The sequence below is a fragment of the Homo sapiens genome, chromosome 1 (genome assembly GCF_000001405.40).
Source record: "Homo sapiens chromosome 1, GRCh38.p14 Primary Assembly".
NCBI classification, from domain to species: domain Eukaryota; kingdom Metazoa; phylum Chordata; class Mammalia; order Primates; family Hominidae; genus Homo; species Homo sapiens.
The window spans coordinates 38,185,533-38,208,528 of record NC_000001.11 but is presented as its reverse complement, the minus strand read 5'-3'; the positions used below and the strand labels follow the sequence as shown (position 1 = coordinate 38,208,528).

Here is a 22,996-nt window from a genome sequence, read left to right as displayed (position 1 = left end):
CCCCTAACCAAAGTCATTCCTGGCTGGCTCATTCCCAAATGATCTGCGTTCATCTCCTTGCTGGGCCTCTGCCTGCCTGTCTTTCTTAGGTGCTGCTGATTTCCGAGCTCCAGGTGACTCTGGTCCTGGGAAGAGGGTTCCTCCCCAGGCCCCAGCTCTGGTCACAACTGCACTCGCACTGTCCTCTCCCTGGCTCCGGCGGGCAGTCCTGCCTTTCCTGCTTCATTCTCAAGTGCCTCCTGCCTCCTGCCTCCTGGGACCCCATAAGCCCACCCACCTGGGCTCTGTCCTCCTCAGCCTGAATTTTGGACCTGCTCAAGGTGGGCAGGGGACACTGCCCTCTGGTCTCCATCCCAGCAGGCGAGTCTTCTCTTCCTGGTCAGTTATGCCACCCTTCGACCCCACCACCACTCTAAGTCAATTCTGCTCTTGCTCTCCTGTGCCATCCAGAGGCTGTCAGTACCACCTGGGCCCGGCCCTCACCTTTTACCCACCCCTACTGGTGAGTATTGTGGGCAGTCGGCTCTGGGCTGCTTTCAGAGAAGGACATAGGCAAATGGATTTGATGATCAGGGCTCAATCTGGGGTCATGGTCAGGGCTCAGTCTGCTCAGTCTAAGACCAAGGTCCCGGCCCAGTTGAGCAGAGGCCAGAGTCACAGCTCAGTCTGGGTTCCAGTTCAGGATTCAGATTGAGGCTGGAATCAAGGCAAAGCCTGAGGTCAAGGTCAGGGCTATACCTGGGCCGAGGCCCAGGGATCAGTCTAACCAAGAAGCACAGCACACCCAACTGGTTTATCTAACCGCTTAGCCCAGGCCATAGCTCCTGCTCCTTGGCTCGCCCCCCTGGCCCTCCCTGGGAACCTCCAGCCTGTCCCTCCCCACCGGGGTGCCTGCATTTCCATTCATGTGTGCGCCCTCCTGGCCAGGCAGTGAGGATTCCCAGGTCCATCTGTCTGCTGAGCTGTCGTGGGAACCAAGCTCAGCGAATGGGCCCGAGCCTGTCTCCCTCCGGAGCCTGCCTCCAGACTGTTGGCGTTCACGGCTCTGCCTCGCAGCCTCCGAGCTGGGCTCACGCTGCTGAGTCCAAACGCCGTCCACTGCTCAGTTCCAGCCAGCCACCAAGCACTCCCCAGATGGGCAGGGACCACGCCATGCCTGCCTGCCTCCTGCCTCAGGCACTGCTCGCTCCCTGCCAGAGGCCCAGGGGAGGTGCCCAGTCCCCAGACTCACAGCCCTGGGGGCCATGCAGGGCCAGGGGAGGGCAGGGAACCCACCTCCACCAGCTCCAGGACCCTGAGCACCATTCAACCAGTGATTCCCTCCAGCCTGGCCACTGGCCCTGGTGAGGCCTGGCCTCCCTCCCTCCAGGTGCCTCTCGGCCTGTGTCCTCTAACCACAGAACTGCCCTGAGGTCTTGGGGAAGCCAAGGTGAGCCATGCAATATGACCCCCAGGGCCTCCGTCTGAGAAGCTCCAGGCAGCATGGAGTCCAGAATCAGGCAGCCCTGGGCTTGCATGCCGCTGGTGCCACTTCAAGCTGTGGGACCCTTGACAAGTTACTTTGTGCCTCCGTTTCCTCATTTATAAATGGGAGCTTCTAGGTTGTAGTGAGGGCTATTAAAAGGTATAAACCCCCTGCAGGGGCAGGAGCTCGAAGTCTCCATCTGTTATCTTTGTCTGCCTGGCACCTCTGCCCCCTTCTTCTGGTTGTGACACCCCCTCCCTGTGCCAAGCTGGCCCTTCTCCACAACCTGTGGGTCTGGTGGGGCAGCCAGTTCTGGGAGCTGGCCCCTGTGGTCACGGAACAGACACAAGCTGGCTTACAGATGGAAGCAGAGCAGAGACAGAGAGAGGCTGCATGAATGGCTGGTCTATTGACATCACCTGGACCCCCAGAACCCTAGGGCCAGGCCCCCCCAAACCTTCCAAGCACAGAGCCAATACCTCCCTTTTAGCTGAAGCTGTTGGACATGAGCTCTTATCTCTGGTGACCTGGTGACAGGGTTCAGAAAGAGCAGGATGCACATATTATGGTTAAGAGCCTCGACCCTGAAGCCACAATATTGGGGTTCAAGTCCCAGCTCTGCCACTTCTTAGCAGTATCACCATAGATGAGTTACCCAAGCTCATGGGGTTGCAGTTTCCTCATCTGTAAAATGGGGATGACACTAGTACCCACCTCCCAGGGTGGTTATGAGGATTCACTTAATTAATATATGGAAGACATTTAGAATAATACTTGGCTCGTAGTAAATGGTATATAAGTATCTGCTAGTATTTTTATTTTTTTTAATCATCTCCTGCTCAGTTGTCCAGTCTAGAGGACAGGATGGGATACTCGACAAATATTTATGGGGTCCCTACTGTGTGCTCCACATTGTGATGCACTGGCCACAAGGCTGCTGTGGGCTCCATCCTCCAGGGGCTCACTGCCAGTGAGGCTGGGTGGCCAAGGAACTACTGCTCCAGGGCCGCCAAGATGAAGCTGCACCCATGGCACCCACGGCACCCACAGCACCCACTCGGCACCCACTGCACAGTGAGCTGCTTTCTAGGAAGCCTGTCGGGTGGCCAGCCAGGGTTTGGGCCAGGGCTCCCAGTACTCATTTGGTCCCTGGAATCTTTATCTGATGCTGGGGAATTCTTTCTAAGTAACTGGGGCCTCCAAGACCCTGCTGACCAGGATCCCTGAGAAACCCCCTCATCCTCCCCAAACCTGACATCCCCAGCTCTCACTCAGGACCCTGGAGAACAGGGGATTGTGGACACATTAAGAAAATCATGCAGAGATCTGGGAGAGAGGGTACGGACTACAGCGACGAGTGGCCAGAAGAGTCTCACGGGGACCCCAAAGGACAGAAAGTGACTTTGTTGTGCAAATAGGAACATTGAGAGAGGAGGAAAGAGGCAAACTAGGGCAGACTCTGAAGTTCGTGTAATTAAGCACCCCTACCCTAGGCCATATCAAGAGGGGGTTGTACCTCTGATGGAGATTCGGCTGAATGGACAGAAAACCTGGGTCAGACAGCCAGCGGCTTCCTGGAGAGCCAGATATCCCAAACTGAGCCATCTGGGAGACAGAGGGGCTCAGACCAGTGGACAGAGAAAGGCAGGCTGAGCGTGTCCAGGAAGTGTCAGGGTCTGCATGCTACTGCCAACCTAGTATGGGCACCAGTTCCAAGTTTTGGTTAATTAAACTTTGCAATATAATTTTTGCAAAATTATACAATAATTGTGTGATAATAGTTATTAATAGTGACATTTGTATCACAGTGAGAGGCTATATGGCATGATGGTTTAAGAGTGGAGCTTCAAAATGCCTGGGTTTGACCGGTTTCACTACTTAATGGTTGTTTCACCTTGAAAAAAACTCCTTCCCCTCTCTATGCAACAGTTTCCTCATCTGTCAAATGGAAATGATGAAATAACATAATAGTATTCACCTCATAGAATTGTTAAGAGAATTACATCAGTCAGTCATTACATGGGAAGTCTTAGAAGAGAAACTGGCACATAGTAAGTGCTCAATAAATGTGTATTACTTGTTATTGAGCACTCACTATATACCAGGTACTGTGCTAAACACTTTGTTTGCATCATTTAATTTAATCCTCACAACAATCTATGAGATAGGTGCTCTTTCAGCCCCCATTTCACTGATGAGAAAACCGAGGCACAGAGTTTGCCTGGGCTCCCGTGGCTCTTAAGTGGCTAGCTAAAATTCAGGTTCAAGATTGTCTGAATCCAGAGTTTAAACTCGCAATCAGGAGTCAAATACAAAAATGGGGATGATAGAAATGGGACCTAGCAGAAAACAAAAAATCAAGCTAGTTGTGTACAGTAGAGACGTGGGGGCTGTGGTGAACTGAAACCCTCATGCCCTACCTAAATGGAACAGCCTGCTCAGTGCCAGATGACCAATGCCCTGAAGGGCTCCAAGGGCTAGCATTGTGGCTGGGCCCCAAGCTGAGTGAACCAGGTCCCCTGACTGTACAACCTGGAGGCAATCATCTTCGAGAGACCATTGAAGCCAGCCTCCCATGCCCATGACCCCGCGTCAATGCTCAGAGCATGAGTCCATGGGCCATTAGTCTTCCTCCACACGCACCAGCTTCATAATGCTGTTGTGTTATGTCCTTGTCCCACTTCTCCACTCCCCCTCTCAACCCCTAAACTCTACCTGGAGCTGGAAATTCAGAGAGTCTTCCCTAAGGGTTCCCTCCATCTCCTGCCTTAACTGGAACCAGGGTCTTTCTTGAAGACACTTCCTCCCCTGCAGCCCCCCAGAGATGCTGCTGTCTGCTCATTTACTCTGTAAGAATCAGAGGTGGGGTTGGTATCCATCTTACTCTCCATTGCTCCTCTTTGGCCTAGAAAACAGTGCACCTTTGAGGGCCGTGCCATTCAGCTCTACCCTTTCTCCTTGCCTCATTGTGGTAGACATTATTGTTGATATCATGATCAGCCCCCAGAAGCCTTTGGCACCTGGCTGAGGTCTTCTTTTTCACTTTAAGATTTTATTTCATACTTTTGGCTTTTTTACTTTGTGCCTTTATCTTGGGTGAATTCGACATCCACAGGAACTATCCATGCAACACGTAGGCTTCTCAGGTCCTCAATCTCATCTCCAATAACCCTCTCTCCCACTTCCCCCAGTCACTCATTCCCTGTCTCATCACAAGCCTTGCCATGACCCCAAACTGCAGCCCCCAGCATCACTAACTCAAGCGTCCTGCTCTCTGACCAATCTACTCTACTTCTTTAAATCTTGCATCATGGTCCTTCTTTAGCTTCCTCAAGACTTTCATCAACCTTTTCATCTTTCTCTCAACCTATCAGCTGTCTTCCTCTGCTTCTCCTTTTATCTTGGCATAGACTCTGTGGTCCATCATTTTACTAACGCTCCTACCAGTACTCCAAATTCTCCCCCACCACTTTCTCTTCTCTACCTGTTTATCAAAACCCCAATCTTCAATGAACCCAACCCTTTGCTGTCTTGTGCTGCACACAAACCGACAAAATTCATGATCACTGGCTTCCTGTGATTCTCCAACGTTTTTTCACCAGCTTCCTCTTTTGCCTTCCATGACTTTCAAACATTCCCAGACTCTTCAAACCTCATATGCTTTACTCCTGCCCTCTCACGCTCATCAGGTGACCTCACCCCTTCCCAGATAAAATGGAATTGATCAGAAAGTAACTCTCCTACAAATCTACCTACATCACCACCCATTCTCTCCCCTAGCCCTGCATGAGAGGAGGGGTCCTTCCTCCTAGCTCCTCCTGTGTTTTGAACCCCATTGTCTCCCACCCCACATTATTCATTGTTTCTTCTCTCTCCTCTGTATCCATCCACTTCATCTGAAAAGGATCTTTCTTGTTGATATTTAAACATTTATGTCTCTCCCATCTTAGGATAAACCTCCTTGGCTACAGGTCTCCAGTTACAGGTCTCTCTCCTCTCCTCTCCCCCTCTTCTCTCCTCTCCTCTCCTTCACTGCCAAACTGCCTGAAAGAGTTGTCACCATGTAATCCCTTGGTATAAGTTATTGGCTAGGAATATGGGCCCTGGAGCCAGACTGCCTGCTTTTGAATTCCAGTTCCATTTCTCAGCAGCTGTGTGACATCAGGCAAATCACATAACCTCTCTGATCTTCTGTTTCCTCTTGTCTATAAAATGTAAACACATGTACCTACCTCAAAGAATCATTGTGAGGGTTAAGGGAGTTAATATACATAAAGCACTTAGAACAGGGCCTGCCCATAGTAAGTGTTCACTTCCTATTTGCCATTGTTTGCTATTATTATTATTGCTCTGATTGCTTCCTCTCCTCCCTGCTCCTTCCTCCACCCAATAATCTGACTTTTGCCCTTTATTCTACCGAACAGCTCTGGCTAAAAGTACTAGTGTTCTTCTTATCTCTTAACACAAAGGACACTTTCCAATCCTCTTCTAATTCTCAGCAAGTTGACCTTTCCTTCCTACTTTAAACATTCTGTCCCTTCTACCTCTCTGAGGGTTCCTTTACCAGTTTCCTTTGAAGTTTTATCCTCCTGTCCCAGACATACATTTGGGTAGCATTGTCATGGGTAACTCACTACCCTCCGTAAGACAAGGTCTCCCCAATTGATATTGCCAATCCAAGGCTCTCCTCTGACCTCAAGTCAAAATCCTACTCAACACTTAAGAGTTCCCAACCACTCTTGAAATCAAATACAACCAAAATGAACTCATGACTTCCCTCCCACTCCATTTTCCCAAAACAAACCTGGTCCTCTTTCAGATGTCACCACCATCTCTTCGGTTTTGCAAGTCAGAAACCTGGAAGCCATCATTTTTCTCTCCTGCTTCTTCATCCCCTCCAATCATTCCCCAAGTGATTATTACCTCCTAAAGAGCCCTCACCATTTCTACTGCCTATTCTCTAATTCAAGCCATTCTCATCTCGTCCCACTACTTGCTGACTAACTGGTCTCAATGCCAGATCCCTCTACCAATACTAATTTCCACACAGCACCCAAACCGATCTTTTCAAAAGACAGATCCAGTTTATCTTCACCTCACAGCCCTGTTCTCTTCCAGGTTGACTTCTTGAGCTCCAGGTGTTGGAAAAATGGCTGCCACAGCTCCAAGCCTCACATCCTTTGCTTTTGAGTCAAACTGTCTCTTATCCAGAATTCCCTTCAAAGTCCCATAGCATCTCCATGGCTGTGATCAAACTATGTGCCTATCCTCAAACCAGTTATTGTGGCCCAGGGGATGCAATGTCATGAGTGGCTTAGCATGGGTTATGTGCTCACTGCTGAAGTTGAGGAATAAACTCCCAACTACATCACATGTACTAAAAAAATTGGGGAGGGCTGTTTCTGCAAGGAGAGCCAATGGCTGCCAAAAACAGATGGTGTCCACTACAGTTGCCAGTACAAACATGAGTCGTGGTATATCAGTATTTCTCTGACTGTGTTCAGCTGAATACTAAACTCTCAAAATCCTCTTGAGTGGGGACCAAAGGAGAAAAAATATTTTTGGGTAAATACATTTAAGAAAACTTGAATTTTATTCCCCTGCCTTTACAGAGGCACAGTGCATGTTAGCATATTAGGAGCACTGAAATCTCCTGCAGCTAAGAAACCTGTCTGGCTTTCTTTAACCCAGCATTTCCTAAACATATTTCATTGTATATCCCTTCTATAGTTACTATGTGTCCCCCAAAGTTCATGTGTTGGAAGCTTAAACTCTAATGCAACAGTGTTAGGAGGTGGGGCCTAATAAGAGCTGATTAGATTATTATCATGAGAGTGCCTTTGTTATAAAAATGAGTCTGCCTCCTCTTGCTCTCTTGCTTTCATACTCTCTTGCCCTTCCACCTTCTGCCATGGGATGACACGGCACAAAGGCCCTTGCCAGATCCTGGTGCCGTGCTCTTGGATTTCCCAGCCTCCATAACTGTGAGCCAAATAAACTTTGGTTGTTCATAAATAACCAGTCTCAGTCTGCTATTCTGATCCTGGTGCCATGTTCTTGGATTTCCCAGCCTCCAGAACTGTGAGCCAAATAAATTTGTGTTGTTCATAAATAACCAGTCTCAGTCTGCTATTCTGCAACACAAAGCAACCCCTTTCCCTTACATTCCCCTATAGGGATGTTTTTCAAACATACTTTGAGAAACCTCCCTGGATGAGAAGACTTCAAAAAGTTTGTGGAAATGTGAAGTTAAAAGATAAAAATGAAAAATATAAACTTTCTCAACATAACCTTCATCAAGGTCAAGTTGCTTTTGTAAGCAATGATACCAGACATTTAGTCCATCTCTAAAGAACTACAGGTCCTGGGAATTTGACCATGTCAATACAGTCTTTTTTACATTATTAACTGAAGAAAAATGGATACCCTTTACAGATTTTTTTAAGATTGGGAAACTAAAAGCAGTCAGAGGAAGCCAAATCAGGACTGTAAGGTGGAAGCCTAATGATTTCCCATTGAAACTCTTGCAAAATTGGCCCTGTTTGACAAAAGGAATGAGCAGGAATGTTCTTATAGTGGGGAAGGATTCTCTGGTGAAGCTTTCTCAGGCATTTTTCTGCTAAAGCTTTGGCTATCTTTCTCAAAACACTCTCATAATAAGCAGATGTTATCATTATTTGGCCCTTCAGAAAATCAACAAGCAAAATACTTTGAGCATCACAAAAAAAATGTTGCCATGACCTTGCTCTTGACTGGTCCAGTTTTGCTTTGACTGGACCACTTCCACGTCTTGGTAGCCATTGCTTTGATTGTGCTTTGTCTTCAGGATTGTACTGGTAAAGCCATGTTTCATCTCCTGTTACAATTCTTCAAAGAAATGCTTCAGGATCTTCATCCCATTTGTTTAAAATTCCCATTGAAAACTCTGCTCTTGTCTGCAGCTGATCTGGATACAATGGTTTTGGCACTCACCAAGTGGAATATTTGCTCAACTTAAATTTTTTAGTCAGAATTGTGTAAGCTGAACTAATTAAGATGTCTATGGTGTTGGCTATTGTTTCTGCTGTTAATCACTCGTCCTCTTCAATTAGGGCATGAGCAAGATTAATGTTTTCCTCACAAATTGATATGGATGGTCTGCAGCTGAGGACTTCAACTTCAACATCATCTCATCCTTCTTAAAACCAGTTACCCATTTGTAAACTGTTGATTTCTTTGGGGTATTGTCTCCTAAACTTTTTGTAAAGCATTAATGATTTCACCATTCTTCCACCCAAGCTTCACCATAAATTTGATGTTTGTTCTTGCTTCAATTTTAGCAAAATTCATGTTGCTTTGATAGGGGCTCTTTTCAAGCTGATGTCTTATCCTTCTTAGTGCCTCAAAATAGATCCTGTTCAGACATGTTATAACAAGTTAGTGCGGGTTTATTTTGGTGCAAAAAGATTTTGAAATCCATCTATAGTTTTTTCATTTTTTTCCTTTTTCATTTTTTTTTTAAGATAGGGTTTCACTCTGTCACCCAGACTGGAGTGCAGTGGCACAGTCATGGCTCACTGCAGCCTCAACCTTCCGGACTCAGGTAATCCTCCCACCTCAGCCTCCTGAGTAGCTGAAACTATAGGCTCCCACCACCAAACTGAGCTAATTTTTCTATTTTTTGTAGAGAAGGGGTTTTACGATGTTGCCCAGGCTGGTCTTGAACTCCTGGGCTCAAGCAATCTGCCCACCTAAGCCTCCCAGAGTGCTAGGATTAAAGGTGTGAGCTGCTGCACCTGGACTAGTTTTTTCTTAATACACATTTTCATGAAGTTTTTGAAGACCTCTCATATTGAGTTACTTTGTGTGCTTTTAAAGTTCTCTCTTCCTTCACTTTCAGCTGCTGCTCTGGGTGTTTTTACTTCTAGAAGCCACTCTCCACCTCTTTTTTCTACTTCTAAATCCTCTGTAGGCTACACAAATAATAATGAAGACTGTCAAAACTATTCATAACATAAGAGAAAGGGACTCTGAGCAAGGTTCTGGTGCATCCTCCTGTGAGTAAAGTGTGGAGATGATACAGCATTTTGTCTCTGCGGTTCTAATTATTTTAGGTCTCAATCCTTGGCTGGAGAGGAGGAGTTGTCAGAGAGCCAAGTTTTGAGACATGCTATTCTATACTGACCCCTCTTTGTAAGAAAGTCTTGAGGGTCCAGGCAACTGGAGAGTGTTACAGGACAGGAGAAGGCAGGGGTAGTCTGTATATCTCCAGGCGGTTCCTATCATGGAACACCACTCAGTGTCAACTAGAACAACAGCAGGATAGCCCAGGCAGGCTGAGCTCTAAACTCTGAAAATGCATTTCAACAAGAGGGCCTTTAGTCACACTCAGGAGAGATTTTATATGGAAAAGGGGACACAGCAGCCAACATGAGGAACAATTGTAAAGCAGAGACCAATAGTGATTCTAGGATCGTGGTGAGCTTGCAAGCAATGTGTATGTTGCTCAAATATACACATAGATGAAAGGTTGCCTTTCTGGAACATAGGGACACACAGAGACAGGACTATATGCACAAGAGAAAGGGAGAAAGAGACTTTGACCGGATCTGACCCAAGGAAAGATACTTAGATAAATCCAAGGTATAGAGCTGTAGTGATGACATTCCCTGAAGCCTAAATCAGAAGCCATGGACATCACTGTGGTCTTATATGTGGGTTTCTTCCCAATTTGTCTCGTGAACCTCTGATACATAATCTGCCCCACGGGCTGGCCTGTGGTCTGACTTGTGGTCTGCCAGCATGTTCCGTCACAGCTCCGCAGGGAGACTGAATGTCCAAAACTGGGCCAGGTACAGGGCACGCTATCCAGGCTGGAATGTTCAGCCCTCCTGCAGTCTGTCTAGGCCCCCTTTCAGGGGAGAGGCATTGGAGGTCCCTGTGAGTTATGACTTTTATTATGCAGAAAACAGGCACATTAACTTCAGGTCTTTGAAAAATGTGATCCTGTAATCAGAGTCTGTGTCTGTCCTGATGCACAATGGCACCAGGCCAGAGAAGTGCAGGGATGAAATAAACATTTAGAAAGACTACTGCATTTGCAGGTCTAAGAATTGAGTTATATTCATTTCTGACAGCTTCCTGAATCACAGCCCACGTCTCCGCCTGGCAAAACTGGGACCTGGCCCTTTAACTAGACTCCATTTCACATAATTAAAGACTCACAAAATTAAATGGCCTGAATGGAAAGTGGCTTTCAGTGGACTAAATGCCGGGAGCAATCTCCTCGCCAGAGTGGAGAAGTGACACTAGCTTGCAGATCAATATCATCTCTGTTATTAATATCAAAAGCACATTACTTTGTTTTTGCCTGGCTCTCCTCCAAGCCTCCGGCCCTGCCACGGAGCAGCCATTTGCTCGGGCCATAATTTACTTTGGTGAGTTTTTAAGGTATTGTTTTGTCAGGACCAATCACCGTGACGTTATAAATGGCTGGGAGGACTTGCACTCTCCCTCAGTGACATATGCAGCGAAATTAATTTTTAAAAGTTTCACGTCAATTACTCCTGTCCTTGAGTTACGCAAGGGGACAAAGGAGCAGAGACGTAAGGATGTGAGTGATCTCAAACAGATGAGGTAACGACACACAGAAGCTGAGGCTGAAGACCAGAGCAGACATTACACTGTCTTTAATTGATGCATTGAATTAAACAATGCTAAAGCCAAATAAATATTGGCCACTTAGCAAAAGAACCATTGATTTTTATGATGGACAACAATGCCATCCTTCACTTTGCTGGTGGAGGGTTTCAAGCCAGGGTCTTATCGGATCCAAAACAGCCAGTTCACTGGATTACACAGCAAGATGCCACCGCTCTTTGGTGGGACTGTGCAAAGTTGAGAGTAACTGTTTTCACTGTTTCTTGCTCAGCCTAGCTCATGTTCCCTCTCTCATTTACTTTTTTTTTTTTTTTTTTTTTTTTGAGACAGGGTCTCACTCTCTCGCCCAGGCTGGAGTGCAGTGGCTCAATCTCGGCTCACTGCAACCTCCACCTACCAGGTTCGGGTGATTCTCCTGACTCAGTGTCCTGAGCAGCTGGGAATACAGGTGTGAGCCACTGTGCCCGGCTAATTTTTGTATTTTTTTTTTTTTTAGTAAAGACGGGGTTTCACCATATTGGTCAGGCTGGTCTCAAACTCCCAACCTCAGGTGATCCGCCTGCCTCAGCCTCCCAAAGTGCTGGGATTACAGGCGTGAGCCACCGTGCCTGGTCTCATTCACCTTTAAGGAGACCTCAGGCTGGGCCTTGCCTCCCTCTGCTTCAGTATTGGCAGCGAGGGCAGAGGCACTGAACATCCTTTTTCCCAAGATCTCCGGGTATGTCTCATCTTCCTCCTATGCCACCTCCCTCAGCAGGCTGTCCCTGAAACCAAAGAAGTGGCTTGCCTTCAGCCCTAAGTACAAAGGGCCCCTCTTCCTGCTCTGCCTGAAAATCAGGGCAAAGAGGAAGACACAGGAAGGGGGACACAAAAAGATCTGTGTTGGAAAGAGAAAGAGATCTACAACTTCCAAGCACCCGGGATGTGCCCAGCACCATATCAGACACCGTACAGCATTATCTTCATTAATTCCCCCAGAAACTTGAAACTGGGCATTAGGGAGGCAGACTTGAAGATGGATATTGACTTCCAGGAGTGAGCATCAAAAGCCTGCAGACCAGGAATCAGACTCTGTCAACCTCACAGACCCCAGGTGCCTGTGTGTCTCTACCCAAAAACATCCACCCCCTTCCCGCTGGAATGCAGGTTCCGTGAGGGCAGAACTAATTTTGTTCTCCTATATTCCCAGTGCTAACTGGCACTTGCACGTGCTATGCTCTTAGTAACTATCCATGGAATGCATGGATATTACAAGAGAAGCCCTGAGATGTGAAGGTTAACGTCATCAATGGAGAGGAGCGGGTTGCCATTTGGCACCCAGTCACACAGAGGCACCTGCCAGGATGGCTTCAACCTGGAAGGGTGAAGGAAGGAACATGCCAAGCAGCCGCTGTGCTCAGGCCAGGTACACACATTGGCTATCTGCACTGGGGGTTAAGAACAACGGAGTCTGGCATAGTCTCGAAACCTCCCATCACATCGGGCTCTGAGATGTCTGAGCAGAGCAATCATGGATTTAATCAGAGTGGGGACAAGGTCCTTTTTCTTGATTCTCTACTCTGATGTCAAAGGCCAAGATAGGATGAGGGCAGTGGGGAGTCAGCAACACTTGTCTGGACTTTGGCAGTCAAATAGGGCCACTAGTCTTTGGAGAGCTATCTTACAAAAATATATTATGATACCCATTTCATAGGTGAGGAAACCGAGGCCCAAAGAAGCTAAACAACTTATTCAGGGTCTTAGGGTCTTTGCCAAACAGTCAAGTGAAAACTGCACATTTCAATGATCCAGCTGTTTCCCCTGTATCATCACTGGGCATCCCAGTGCCATGCTCATAGGGCTGCCTGGTGTGAGGACATTCACAGCGCAGTACCCAGGCTGAGTGTGAACTAGATTCCTCCCAGCACAGTGAAATCAACTGGCAGGCCTCAGGCCCAGCCATACACTCTCATGGTGGGAGGAGGTGCAGTTGAGTTTGGTGGAGGGAATCCTGGCCTGTACATGCCAAGGTTCGCTCATGCCTCCATCAACAAGCATCTGCCGCTGCGGGCAGACCCCATGCTAGGGAAGCCTCAGCGAATGAGGATCCCATTACCTTCCTTGCCCTCACCAAGCTTACAGCTGGTAGAGAATGAGACCCCACCTTGTTTCAAAATTCGTTAATTTTTACTTGCATAGATCATGAACAAGGAAGACAGCCTTTAAATATTCCTAGCTTACTAAGAAGCTGCACAGTTCTTCTGTATCAGTAGCTGAATTAGAAAAATATCAGAGAGTGTACACAGCATCCTGTGACAAACACAGGTTTACAACTGCACATGAACAAACACCAGGATTTACAGGAATATAGGAAGTATTTTAATAAGTGTATTCTTTCCAACACAAGTATTTACAAGAAGTATTATAACAAATGTGTTCTTTTTTTTTTTTACAGACATTCCTAGTCTCAAGGTAGCAAGGGAACAGTCCTTGAGAAAGAACTATTCAAATTTTGACGATCACAGGCTATTGCCGCTTTTAGTAAACACTTGGAAACTCAGTGTCCAGATGCCACGATTTCTAGTAAGTATGGATTCAAATTAAATGCTGTGGTAAGTAGTATGTTACCATACTTCTAATCTTATTATTTGTTTAAACAGAGGGTGCTTGCTAACCTCGTGCTTCTGTTAATGACTTGGGCACTCAATGAGTTCGTGTCCACCCAGAAAGCATTTGTTTAGCTGGCAGGCACCCAGGCTGGGCCCGGCTGTGTGCAGGTCCTGGGCTCTCACAGCCAAGTCAACTGCAATCCTGATGTCTGAGGAGCTCCTGGTCCAGTCGGGGGAGGGACCCAGAAACAGGCTGAGTCTGCTTATGGCTGGAATTGGGTAATGGCAATGAGAACATGAACTTAACCCTTACTGTGGGCGAGGGGGAGGGCCCATCAGGAAAGTGCCTGGGGGCTGGGTCCTGAAGATGAATAGGAATGTTCTAGAAAGTAAGCAGAAAGGCATACCTGGCAGAGGGTTTTGCAGGCGCAAGGACCTAGAAGTACAGCAGGGTGAGGTGCATCTGGAGGAGAGTTTGGTGTGGGTTAGGATTTGTGGCTGTCAGAATTCTCGATAACCTGTTCTCAACATGGAAAGCAGAGTGATCCTTTACCGTGTAAACCAGATCACATTTCTCCCCGATCCAAGCCTCCAAGAGCTATAGTTGCACTTAGGGTAAAATCTAAAGTCTGACAATGGGCTCTAAGCCCCTGCAGGATCTGATCCCTACCCACCTCTGCCCCTGCTCTCCAAGCTCCAGCCTCGTTTCTCTTCCTTGAGTTGGTAAAGTCCATTCCAACCTTGAGAACTTTGCACTTGTCGCTCTCTTGGTGTGGAATATTCTTCTTCTAGATCTTCCTCTGAGTGGCTTCTTTTCATTTAAATCTCGGTTCGAACATCCCCTCTATGGAGTGGATTTCCCTACATGCTAGCAAAACAGCCCCTCTCGCATCCCCCAGTCACTTCCAATGACACCAACTTGTTTTAGTAACATCAAAGCTCATGCCATTCCCTACAATCTTCTCGTTGATGCATTTGTTCATGATAACCTCCATGCGGACAACAACCTGGCCTGCTGTGTTCACAACCCCTACGACAAAATCCAGAACATACCAGATGCTCAGAAGGTATCTGTTGAATGAATGAGTGAAGAGCCTGGAGGTCTTTGGGCTTCTCCCAAGTCTTAGAACATTTGAGAAGCAGAGAAAGTAGAGGAGGAGGCTCCTTCACCTGCCATGCCCAGGCTGTGGGGAGGAGGGAAAAAAGCCTGAACATATGGATGGAGGGACAAAGTCGAGTTTGAAAGCACTGGACCAAGTCCAAGAGGGCCAATTCATCCATCACAGGCCAGCAGCAGACAGCACTGGACTTCCCTGATACTCACAGGAGGCGAGTGGGCCTGGGCCTGGAAAAAAGAGCCGAGAGTGAGGGCAGAGCTGATGAAAACTTAGGAAGCAGCCCAGCCCACAGCCGATGGGTTCCTCTCCCACCTTGAGCATCTCTGCACCCCAGGGAGGTGGAGATTGAGACTGAGGCCAGAGGGAATCCAAGACTGCCTCTGGCCAGGCTCAACAGTCACATCCTTCAATCAGCCTTGTTCTTTTTTGCCTTCCTGCTGTTCCCTCTGCCTAGAACATGATCCCCTATCATTTATCTGACAAATCCCTACTCATCCTTCAAATGTCAGCTTAGAAGCCACTTTCTCTAGGAAGCCTGCCCTGACAGTTCTCCTCTCCTCGCTGCCTTTGCCAGGCTGGGTTTAGAGTTCTTCCCTCATTATAGCAATCACCATCCTTTATCATAATTACCTGCCTCTGGAATCACATGCATCTGGGCTTAAGTTTCAGCTCACGGAATTGCTGCTCAACCTCTTTGAGTCTCAATTTCCGCATCTATACAATGGAGAAAATAATAAACATCATGCAAGTATGTTGTGAGCATGATTCGGGACAGTATGTACAGCTGGTGAGTACTAGGTATTTAATCAATATTAGATATGGTAATAATGAAGAAGAAAAATTTCTGAATCTACCTCCAAATGCCTAACAGGTGGTCAGCTGGGCTGAGGTGGGAAAAAACCCACTGGACTTGGAATCCAAATCATGGCTCAGCCATTATAGCTGTGATTTTAGCAGACGTTATACTCCCTCTCAGCTTCCTATTCCTCCTCTGTAAGATGGAATTCCCAAAACCATCCTCATAGGATTGCTGTGAGGATTTGATTTATTTAATCATCTTTCTTTTCTTTCCTTTTTTTTTTTTTTCAGAAATGGGATCTCGCTCTCTCACCCAGACTGGAGTGCAGTGGCACAATCACAGTTCACTGCAGCCTCAAACTCCTGCGCTCAAGCGATCCTCCCACCTCAGCCTCCTGAGTAGCTGGGACTACAGGTGCACACCATCATCCCTGGGTCCAGTCATTTTTCAAATATATATAGACTAATATGTGTCTAGTACTAATTTAGACTTCAGGTGATTGAGGTCTGATCCTTGTACCCACAGAGGATGAGGGTCATTAGGCAGTGACAGCAGTGTTGTTCAGGTATGCAGGCCTGCTTGCATTCAGCAATTCCCATTGAGTGCCTACTAGGTGCCAATGTGGAAGAAGAACAGAAAAGACTCCTGCCCTAATAATATGAATAGAAGCAGCTAATATTCATTGAACATTGACTGCATGGTTCAGTTCTTTAGGCTTCCTAAAACACAAACACAATTAACAGCTACCTCAGAGAGTGGCAGGCAAGATTATATGAATTAATGCATGTGACGCTCAGAGCAGAGGTCCTGGCACCTCGTAAGTGGTCAATAAATGGGAGCCCTAATTCTATTTATTAGCTCACTAGGTAGCAGCCTTGTATTTAGAGCTTTACATGTTTTATCTCATTTAATCATTTAATCCAGGGTGATAAGTACTAAGATACGACACGTGAAATCGCCTATAAACTTAAAAGCCTTTCCGCATGTGAGTGCTTGTTAATGTTTCAGAGAGACGAGCAGAGGATCATAGAATGGGATGGGGCAGTCAGCATGCAGAGAGATCAGCCAGAAAAGCTTCTGGAAGGTGAGCCTGGGGATGAGGCAGGGATCTGGGGCCACCAGGGCTGAACAACAGAGGACAGGAGGAACAGCCTCTCTCCTGCAAACCAGGGCGTTTCTGCTGCTGCAGAAGGCCAGATTCAAACAGGGCAATTTAAAAACATGTAAAAGGCATAAAGCGAGAGCAGCTGTGCACAGCTGCCGCCGAACGCTCCATCGCTGCCTCGCTGTGGACTCTAAATGACAATAAACCTTCCACCCCTTATAAATTAAGCAGACTTTCAAAAAAACCATATCTCCTCCTGCAACTTTTTATGGCTGTTTGGCAACTTTAATCATTTTGCAAAATGCAATTCCTGGCCATAAATTCTCTCCCAAGTACAGATTTAGGGAGATCTAGAGGACTGCGGCGGGTTGATAGGTAAGTTTTAATCTGACAAGGCCAAAAAGTCTATTAGATTTATGGGGAGGCAGCAGATACCTTGTAATTACACCAGGCTCGACCTCTGGGGAATCTTGAATTCAAGGGGGGTGGTGGGGAGAAAATGGGAAGGAAGTGGCTGGGGCAGTGGCAACAGCGGGCTGGAACCCCCTCCGTCAGTCAGTCCCTGGCCCCAGCCTTTTGGTCACAGGCCACGGTGATTTCCTAGCAAAGGCTCAAAGACCTTGGGTTCCAAGTCACTGAAGCCTGTGACTGATACACATGCACACACATGCACACATCCACAGTGCCTGTCAAGAGAAGCTGAGCTCTTGTGAAGGAGGTCACACATCCCTGAGCAGGGTAAAGAGTGAGTGAGAAGGCAGTGGATTTCATTCAATTACACATCCAACAAGTATTGAGTCCACATGCATGCTATGTGCCACACACCGTATGGGACACTAGGGACAGAGCCATGGACAGTGCATGGGTTGTGCCCTGCACAGGGTACCCAACTAAGAGGGCATTTGGCATATGGTCCAGTACAAGCAACTTTAGCCTGGAGGCAGGAGAGCCTTTCCTGACCTGGCTGCCCAGGAACGTGCCTCTGACTACCCTGCCCTAAGGTGCTAGCCTCTCTGCAGCCCCAGCTTCAGCTCACAAGGTGGTCATAGTCTAACAGGATCCCAAGGCACAAACTGGCAGTCTGCAGGCTGAATTTGGCCAACATCATGCCTTAAAATTTTTGAATGTGGAAGGACTTTTCCTTTGTCACCATGCTACCACTCCTTACTACCCTACACTCAGAGGATTCATTTGCATTTGCTCCTGGCCCCAATGTGAGTTTGAAACCCCTGGAAGAAGCCTAAGGTAGTGATGGGATAAGTAAAGGATGTCACAGAGCCCCAGACCCCCTGTGGAAGTGTGCTGGGTAGAAGAATGGCCCCTGAAGAGGTCCACATCCTAAATCCCAAAACCGAGACCATGTTATGTTATGCGGCAAATGAGGAATTAATGTTGCAGACAGAATTAAGGGTACTAATCAGCTGACTTTAAAATAGGGAGATTATCCTGGATGATCTGAGTGGTCCCAATGTAATCACATGGGTCCTTAAAAGAGAATCAGAGGGCAGAAGAAGGGCCAGGGTCAAAGTGACGTGATGTGAGAAAGACTCGACTGGCCATTGCTGACTATGCAGATGCAGGAAGGTGCCACAAGCCGAGGAATGCAGACAGCCTCCATAAAGTAGAGAGGCAAAACAGGCACATTCTCCCCTAGATTTTATTATTATTATTATTGAGACAGAGTCTCTCTTTGTCACCCAGGCTGAAGTGCCATGGTGCGATCTCAGCTCACTGCAACCTCCGCCTCCCAGGTTCAATCAATTCTCCTGCCTCAGCCTCCCAAGTAGCAGGGATTACAGGTGTGCACCACCACACCAAGCTAATTGTCGTATTTTCAGAAAAGACGGGGTTTCACCATGCTGGACAGGCTGATCTCGAACTCCTGACCTCAGGTGATCCTCTCGCCTCAGCCTCCCAAAGTGTTGGGATTACAGGCATGAGCCATTTTGCCCAGCCATCCCCTAGATCTTCTAGAAGGAAACACAGCCCTGCTGACACCTTGATTTTAGCCCATTGAGACCCATCTCAGACTTCTGCCTCCTGGGACTGTAAGATAATAAATTTGTATTGTCTTAAGCCACTAAATTTGTGGTGATTTGTTACAGTAGCAAGAAGAAACAAGTGACATTTAAGTGAAGGCCAGAGAGGTGAATAGATTTGGGCTGGAGGTGTTTCAGATGAGGGGAAGAACACACGACTTCATTCCTCCATGCTCCCTTTTTGCTCTCCAATGCTCTGGGCTTGGCTTTGGTGATCCTGGGGATGTGAAGATTTTGCAGATGTGGTCACAACAAGGGTACAGGGAGCACACAGAGGCTACCAAAGGAGGCCAAGTCACAAATGGGTTACTTTGGAGTGGTATTTATTAGACTTTGTACCAAGACCTGTCCTCAGCATCCTAAGTGGTTTATCTTCACAAGCAGCCCTGGGAGGCTGGATTGTATGGTGGCTATCAGTCTGGGTCCTGGTACCAGAGTACCTGATTCAAGTCCAAACTCTACCTGCTACTAAGTATATGGCTGTTACTTAAGCTCTTGGGCTGCCATTTCTTCATCAGTACAGTGGCAATAATTATGGCACATCATGGGGTTGTTCGGAAGATTAAATGAGGTAGGATACAGCACCTAGAACATTGTCCAATGCTGAGTAGTTACAGGCTGTCATCTTCAGATATGGCAGACAAGCCTGAAGGTAAATGCTATGACTCCAGCCTCCTGGTGTTCATGCTTCTAACTAATAGGATATGGCAAAGGTAATGGGCGGTCTGTCCCATTATTACATCCCATTCCCAGGACCATCTTAGCAGGCTGGAGATAGAGGCTCTCCCTGCTGGCTGGATGACATAAGCAGCAATGTTGGAGGAGCCCACATGGCAAGGAACTGTGGAACTAGGAGTTGCAGGCTACCTCCTGCAACCAGCAGGAGCCAGAGCCTTCAGTCCTACAACTGCAGGGAAGTGAATCCTGCCAACAATCTGAGTGAGCTTGGAAGCAGATCCTTCCCCAGTCAGTCCTCCAGATGAGAATGCCTCTTGGTTGACACCTTTTCTGTAGCTCTGTGAGATTGTCAGAAGAGGATCTAATCAAGCCTTGCCAAAACCCCTAACACAGAAACTATGAGACGTGTGTTGTTTAAAGCCACTACGTTTGTGGTAATTTGTTCAAATTTATGCAAAAATGTACAATGAATACATCAGTTAAGTACTACAATTTTTCCCATTTGACAAATGGGAAACTGGCATTTGGAAAAGGTAGGTTCCTTGCCCAAGGTCACAGAGCTAGTTAGAGGCACAGCTAAAACTCAAGTCCAGGACTGTCCAGTTCCAGGACCCTTGCTCTTAATTACCACACCAATCTGCCCTGCTCCCTCCAAGGTAGCCATCTCCTTCGGCACAAGCCCCTTCAGGCTCCTTCATCCCTTTCTTGCCTTTCTCTTCTTCCCTCTTCTTTCCATCCTCCTCCAGCCCCTTGTCCTTCTCCCTTAACTTTCTTTCTCCCCTCCCCCTCCTCCTCCTCCCACGCCCACTTCACCACCATGGGGTAGTTGCTTTGTAACAGTCCCTACCTTCCCAAACCTCTCCCTGCAGGGTCACTAGGGCATCCCTTCCAGGCTCACCCCTGCAGAAACAATTGAGGAATTGACAGCAGCTTCAACCCAGCTGGCCAGGAACTAGGTGCCATGCTGCTCTCCCCTGATGCCACCAAGAGCCTGAGTTCTTCTCCCAAGGAACCAGAGTCAGAACTCCCCAAGGCAGGGCTCCTAGGCTCAGGGACAGTCCACCAGCCTGGTCCCAACCTGCACCTGCAGCACAGCAGACAGATGGTAAGAACCTCCAGGCCCTTCTACTCTAGCCCTTCTGCAGGTCTCCGGCCCCACCTCCCTTTGCATGAAAGAAAGAGAGGGTTCTTTAAAAATGGAACAGAATAAAATATAGATAAGCATTAGTCAAATGAAATTAATGCTTCCAATATTGTTTCAGGCTTGCACATATGCATCAAGCATTTATGAAATTGCAGTTTATCACGTGAGAATATTGCGGTTATATATTAGCTTACTGTCTGGTGGCCACTCCACGGCTCTCTCTGGACCCTAGATCGCCCTTCACAGGCAAAGTCAGCCTTGCCGACATCTATCGCCTTCCTCTGCCGACACGTCCCCAGATGCTGATAAAAGGCCTTGCCCCCAACAACATATGAATATTTAAATGACAGTTAATTATTCAGCATATAATGATGTTATTAGCATCCACTTTATTGCTGGCTGTGGGCCCAGCCAAGTCTTGTCCCACACTGAGGGGTGCTGAGGAAAAGCCTAAACCAGGCAAGCCCTATGTCTGCTGCATCTGCAGGGACGCATTGTTATCTGGGGGAGTTGTCAATTCACAAAAATGATCACTGAGGATCTCTACCCTGGACCTGTTCCATGTCAAGCCATGTGGACATAGATCACATGAGGAGTGTTCTAAATCTTCCCCTCTGGGGAGGAGATTTAGCCAACATAGCTCCTGTTCACAAAGTGCTTACAGCCTCATGGGAGCTCACATTCACCCTGCCAAGCACCTCACAGGCACATCATTAGTTTCACAAAACAACCTTACAAAGTAAGGGCTTTTCTTGTCCCTCTTTTCTTAGAAATAAGAAAACTGAGGCCAGGTGTGGTGGCTCACACCTGTAACACAAGCACTTTGGGAGGCCGAGGTGGAGGGATCGCTTGAGCTCAGGAGTTCAAGACCAGCCTGGGCAACGTGGCAAAACCCTATGTCTACAAAAAATACAAAAATTAGCCAGGCATGGTGGCATGCACCTATAGTCCCAGCTACTCAGGAGGCTGAGGAGGGAAGATCGCTTGCACCCGTGAGGCAGAAGTTACAGTGAGCCAAGATGGCCCCACTGAACTCCAGCCTGGGTGATAGAGTGAGACCCTGTCTCAAAAAAAAAAAAAAAGGAAATAAGAAAACAGAAGCTTAGAAGTAAAGTGCTGTGCACAAGGTCATGAGGTACATGAAGGAACTGGGATTCTAACACGGAGAGCCTTACTCAGAGCTCTTGCTCCACTAGCCACGAGCAAAGCTTGTGCTCCCAGACAATGGGAAAGAAGTGCAGCAACACACACGCAAGCAAAAGGCTCTGAGATCCAGAAGTGAGGATGCATGCAGATGGAGATAAAGCGGAAAAGGCTTCTAGAATAAGGTAGCATTGGAGCTGGACCTGGAAGAATAAATAAGCACAGGATGCAGAGGTGGGGAGGGCACCCCAGTCAAAGAGAACAGCACACACAAAGGCATTGGAGAAGAAAGGTGCTTTGAAAATGGTGAGATTCCGGGTAAACTGCAGCACAAGCTCTGTGTGGGGTGCACAATGGGAAGATAGTTTGGGAACAGGTGACAGAGAGTATAGAGGGTACGACTGTATCCTGAGAGCACTGTGGAGTCTGGAAAGATTGTGGTAGACTGCAAAATGGTTACAAATTTCCCCTTCCCATAAAGAGGTGGAATCTGTTTGCCCACCCCAGTCTCCCCACTACATCTGGACATGAGCATGTCGGCCATGTGACTTGCTTTGCAGAAGGGGACATTAGCAAATGCAGCACAAAGGTTTGAAAAGTGTTCTTGAAGTCTGAGACCACCATGGAAACAAGCCTAAGAGGCCACACGGAGGAGAAATGAGGTGTCCCAGAGGAGCCCAGCCCAAATTACTGGCAACCTGCCAACAACCCAACATGTCAGCGAGTCCATCCCGGGTCATCCAGCCACCAGTGGTTCCCAGATGACCTGCCAGCAGACACATGATGGAGCCCAGCAGAGATCAGTGGAGTTGGCCCACTGACCTCTTTTAAGGCATTCAATTTTGGAGTCGTTTGTTATATCGCAACGGCTAAGTGATACAAAGGTTTAAAGAGGAGTGGCCTGACCAGAGGTGTTTTAGAAAGAGTGCTCTGGCCACGGGGTGGAAGATAGATTAGAAATGGTGAAACTGGCAGCTGGAGACCCTCAAGGAGGCTGATATCAGAGTCCCGAGTGAGAAGATGAAGGTGAAATCAAGGCGATGGGAATGGATGAAGTGAAGGTCCTCCCAGTGTCTGCCAGGGAGGCACTATGATGTCACTGAAGCAAGTCTTTGGGCCAAGCGTGGTGGATCACTTGAGCCTAGGAGCTCAAGACCAGTGTGGCCAACATGGCAAAACTCCATCTCTACCAAAAATACAAAAATTAGGCAGGTGTGTTGGTGCATGCCTGTAATCCCAGCTACTTCAGTGACTGAGGCAGGAGAATCGCTTGAACCC

The 22,996-nt window shown here is 47.5% G+C and overlaps 1 long non-coding RNA gene across 5 annotated transcripts in view, besides 1 other annotated feature; it reads right to left on the bottom strand.

The window, feature by feature from the left end:
• The window catches only part of LOC105378654 (uncharacterized), a 77,745-nt gene that overhangs the window by 10,712 nt on the left and 44,037 nt on the right, over nucleotides 1–22,996 (bottom strand). For 3 of the 5 annotated variants that reach the window (XR_002958294.2, XR_001737986.1, XR_007065894.1), the window contains exon 3: nucleotides 15,441–15,524. This is a non-coding gene — a long non-coding RNA (uncharacterized LOC105378654). Of the gene's footprint in view, nucleotides 1–14,366; nucleotides 15,038–15,440; nucleotides 15,525–22,996 lie in introns of all 5 variants that reach the window. The other 2 variants (XR_001737985.1, XR_001737987.2) reach the window with 1 other exon arrangement.
• Nucleotides 2,517–3,017: an enhancer, noted in NCBI's record as "H3K4me1 hESC enhancer chr1:38671184-38671684 (GRCh37/hg19 assembly coordinates)". NCBI's record gives its function as "activates a minimal SCP1, AML or CMV promoter by ChIP-STARR-seq in naive H9 embryonic stem cells {active_cell/tissue: H9 hESC(naive)}" and the evidence as "EXISTENCE:reporter gene assay evidence [ECO:0000049][PMID:30033119]".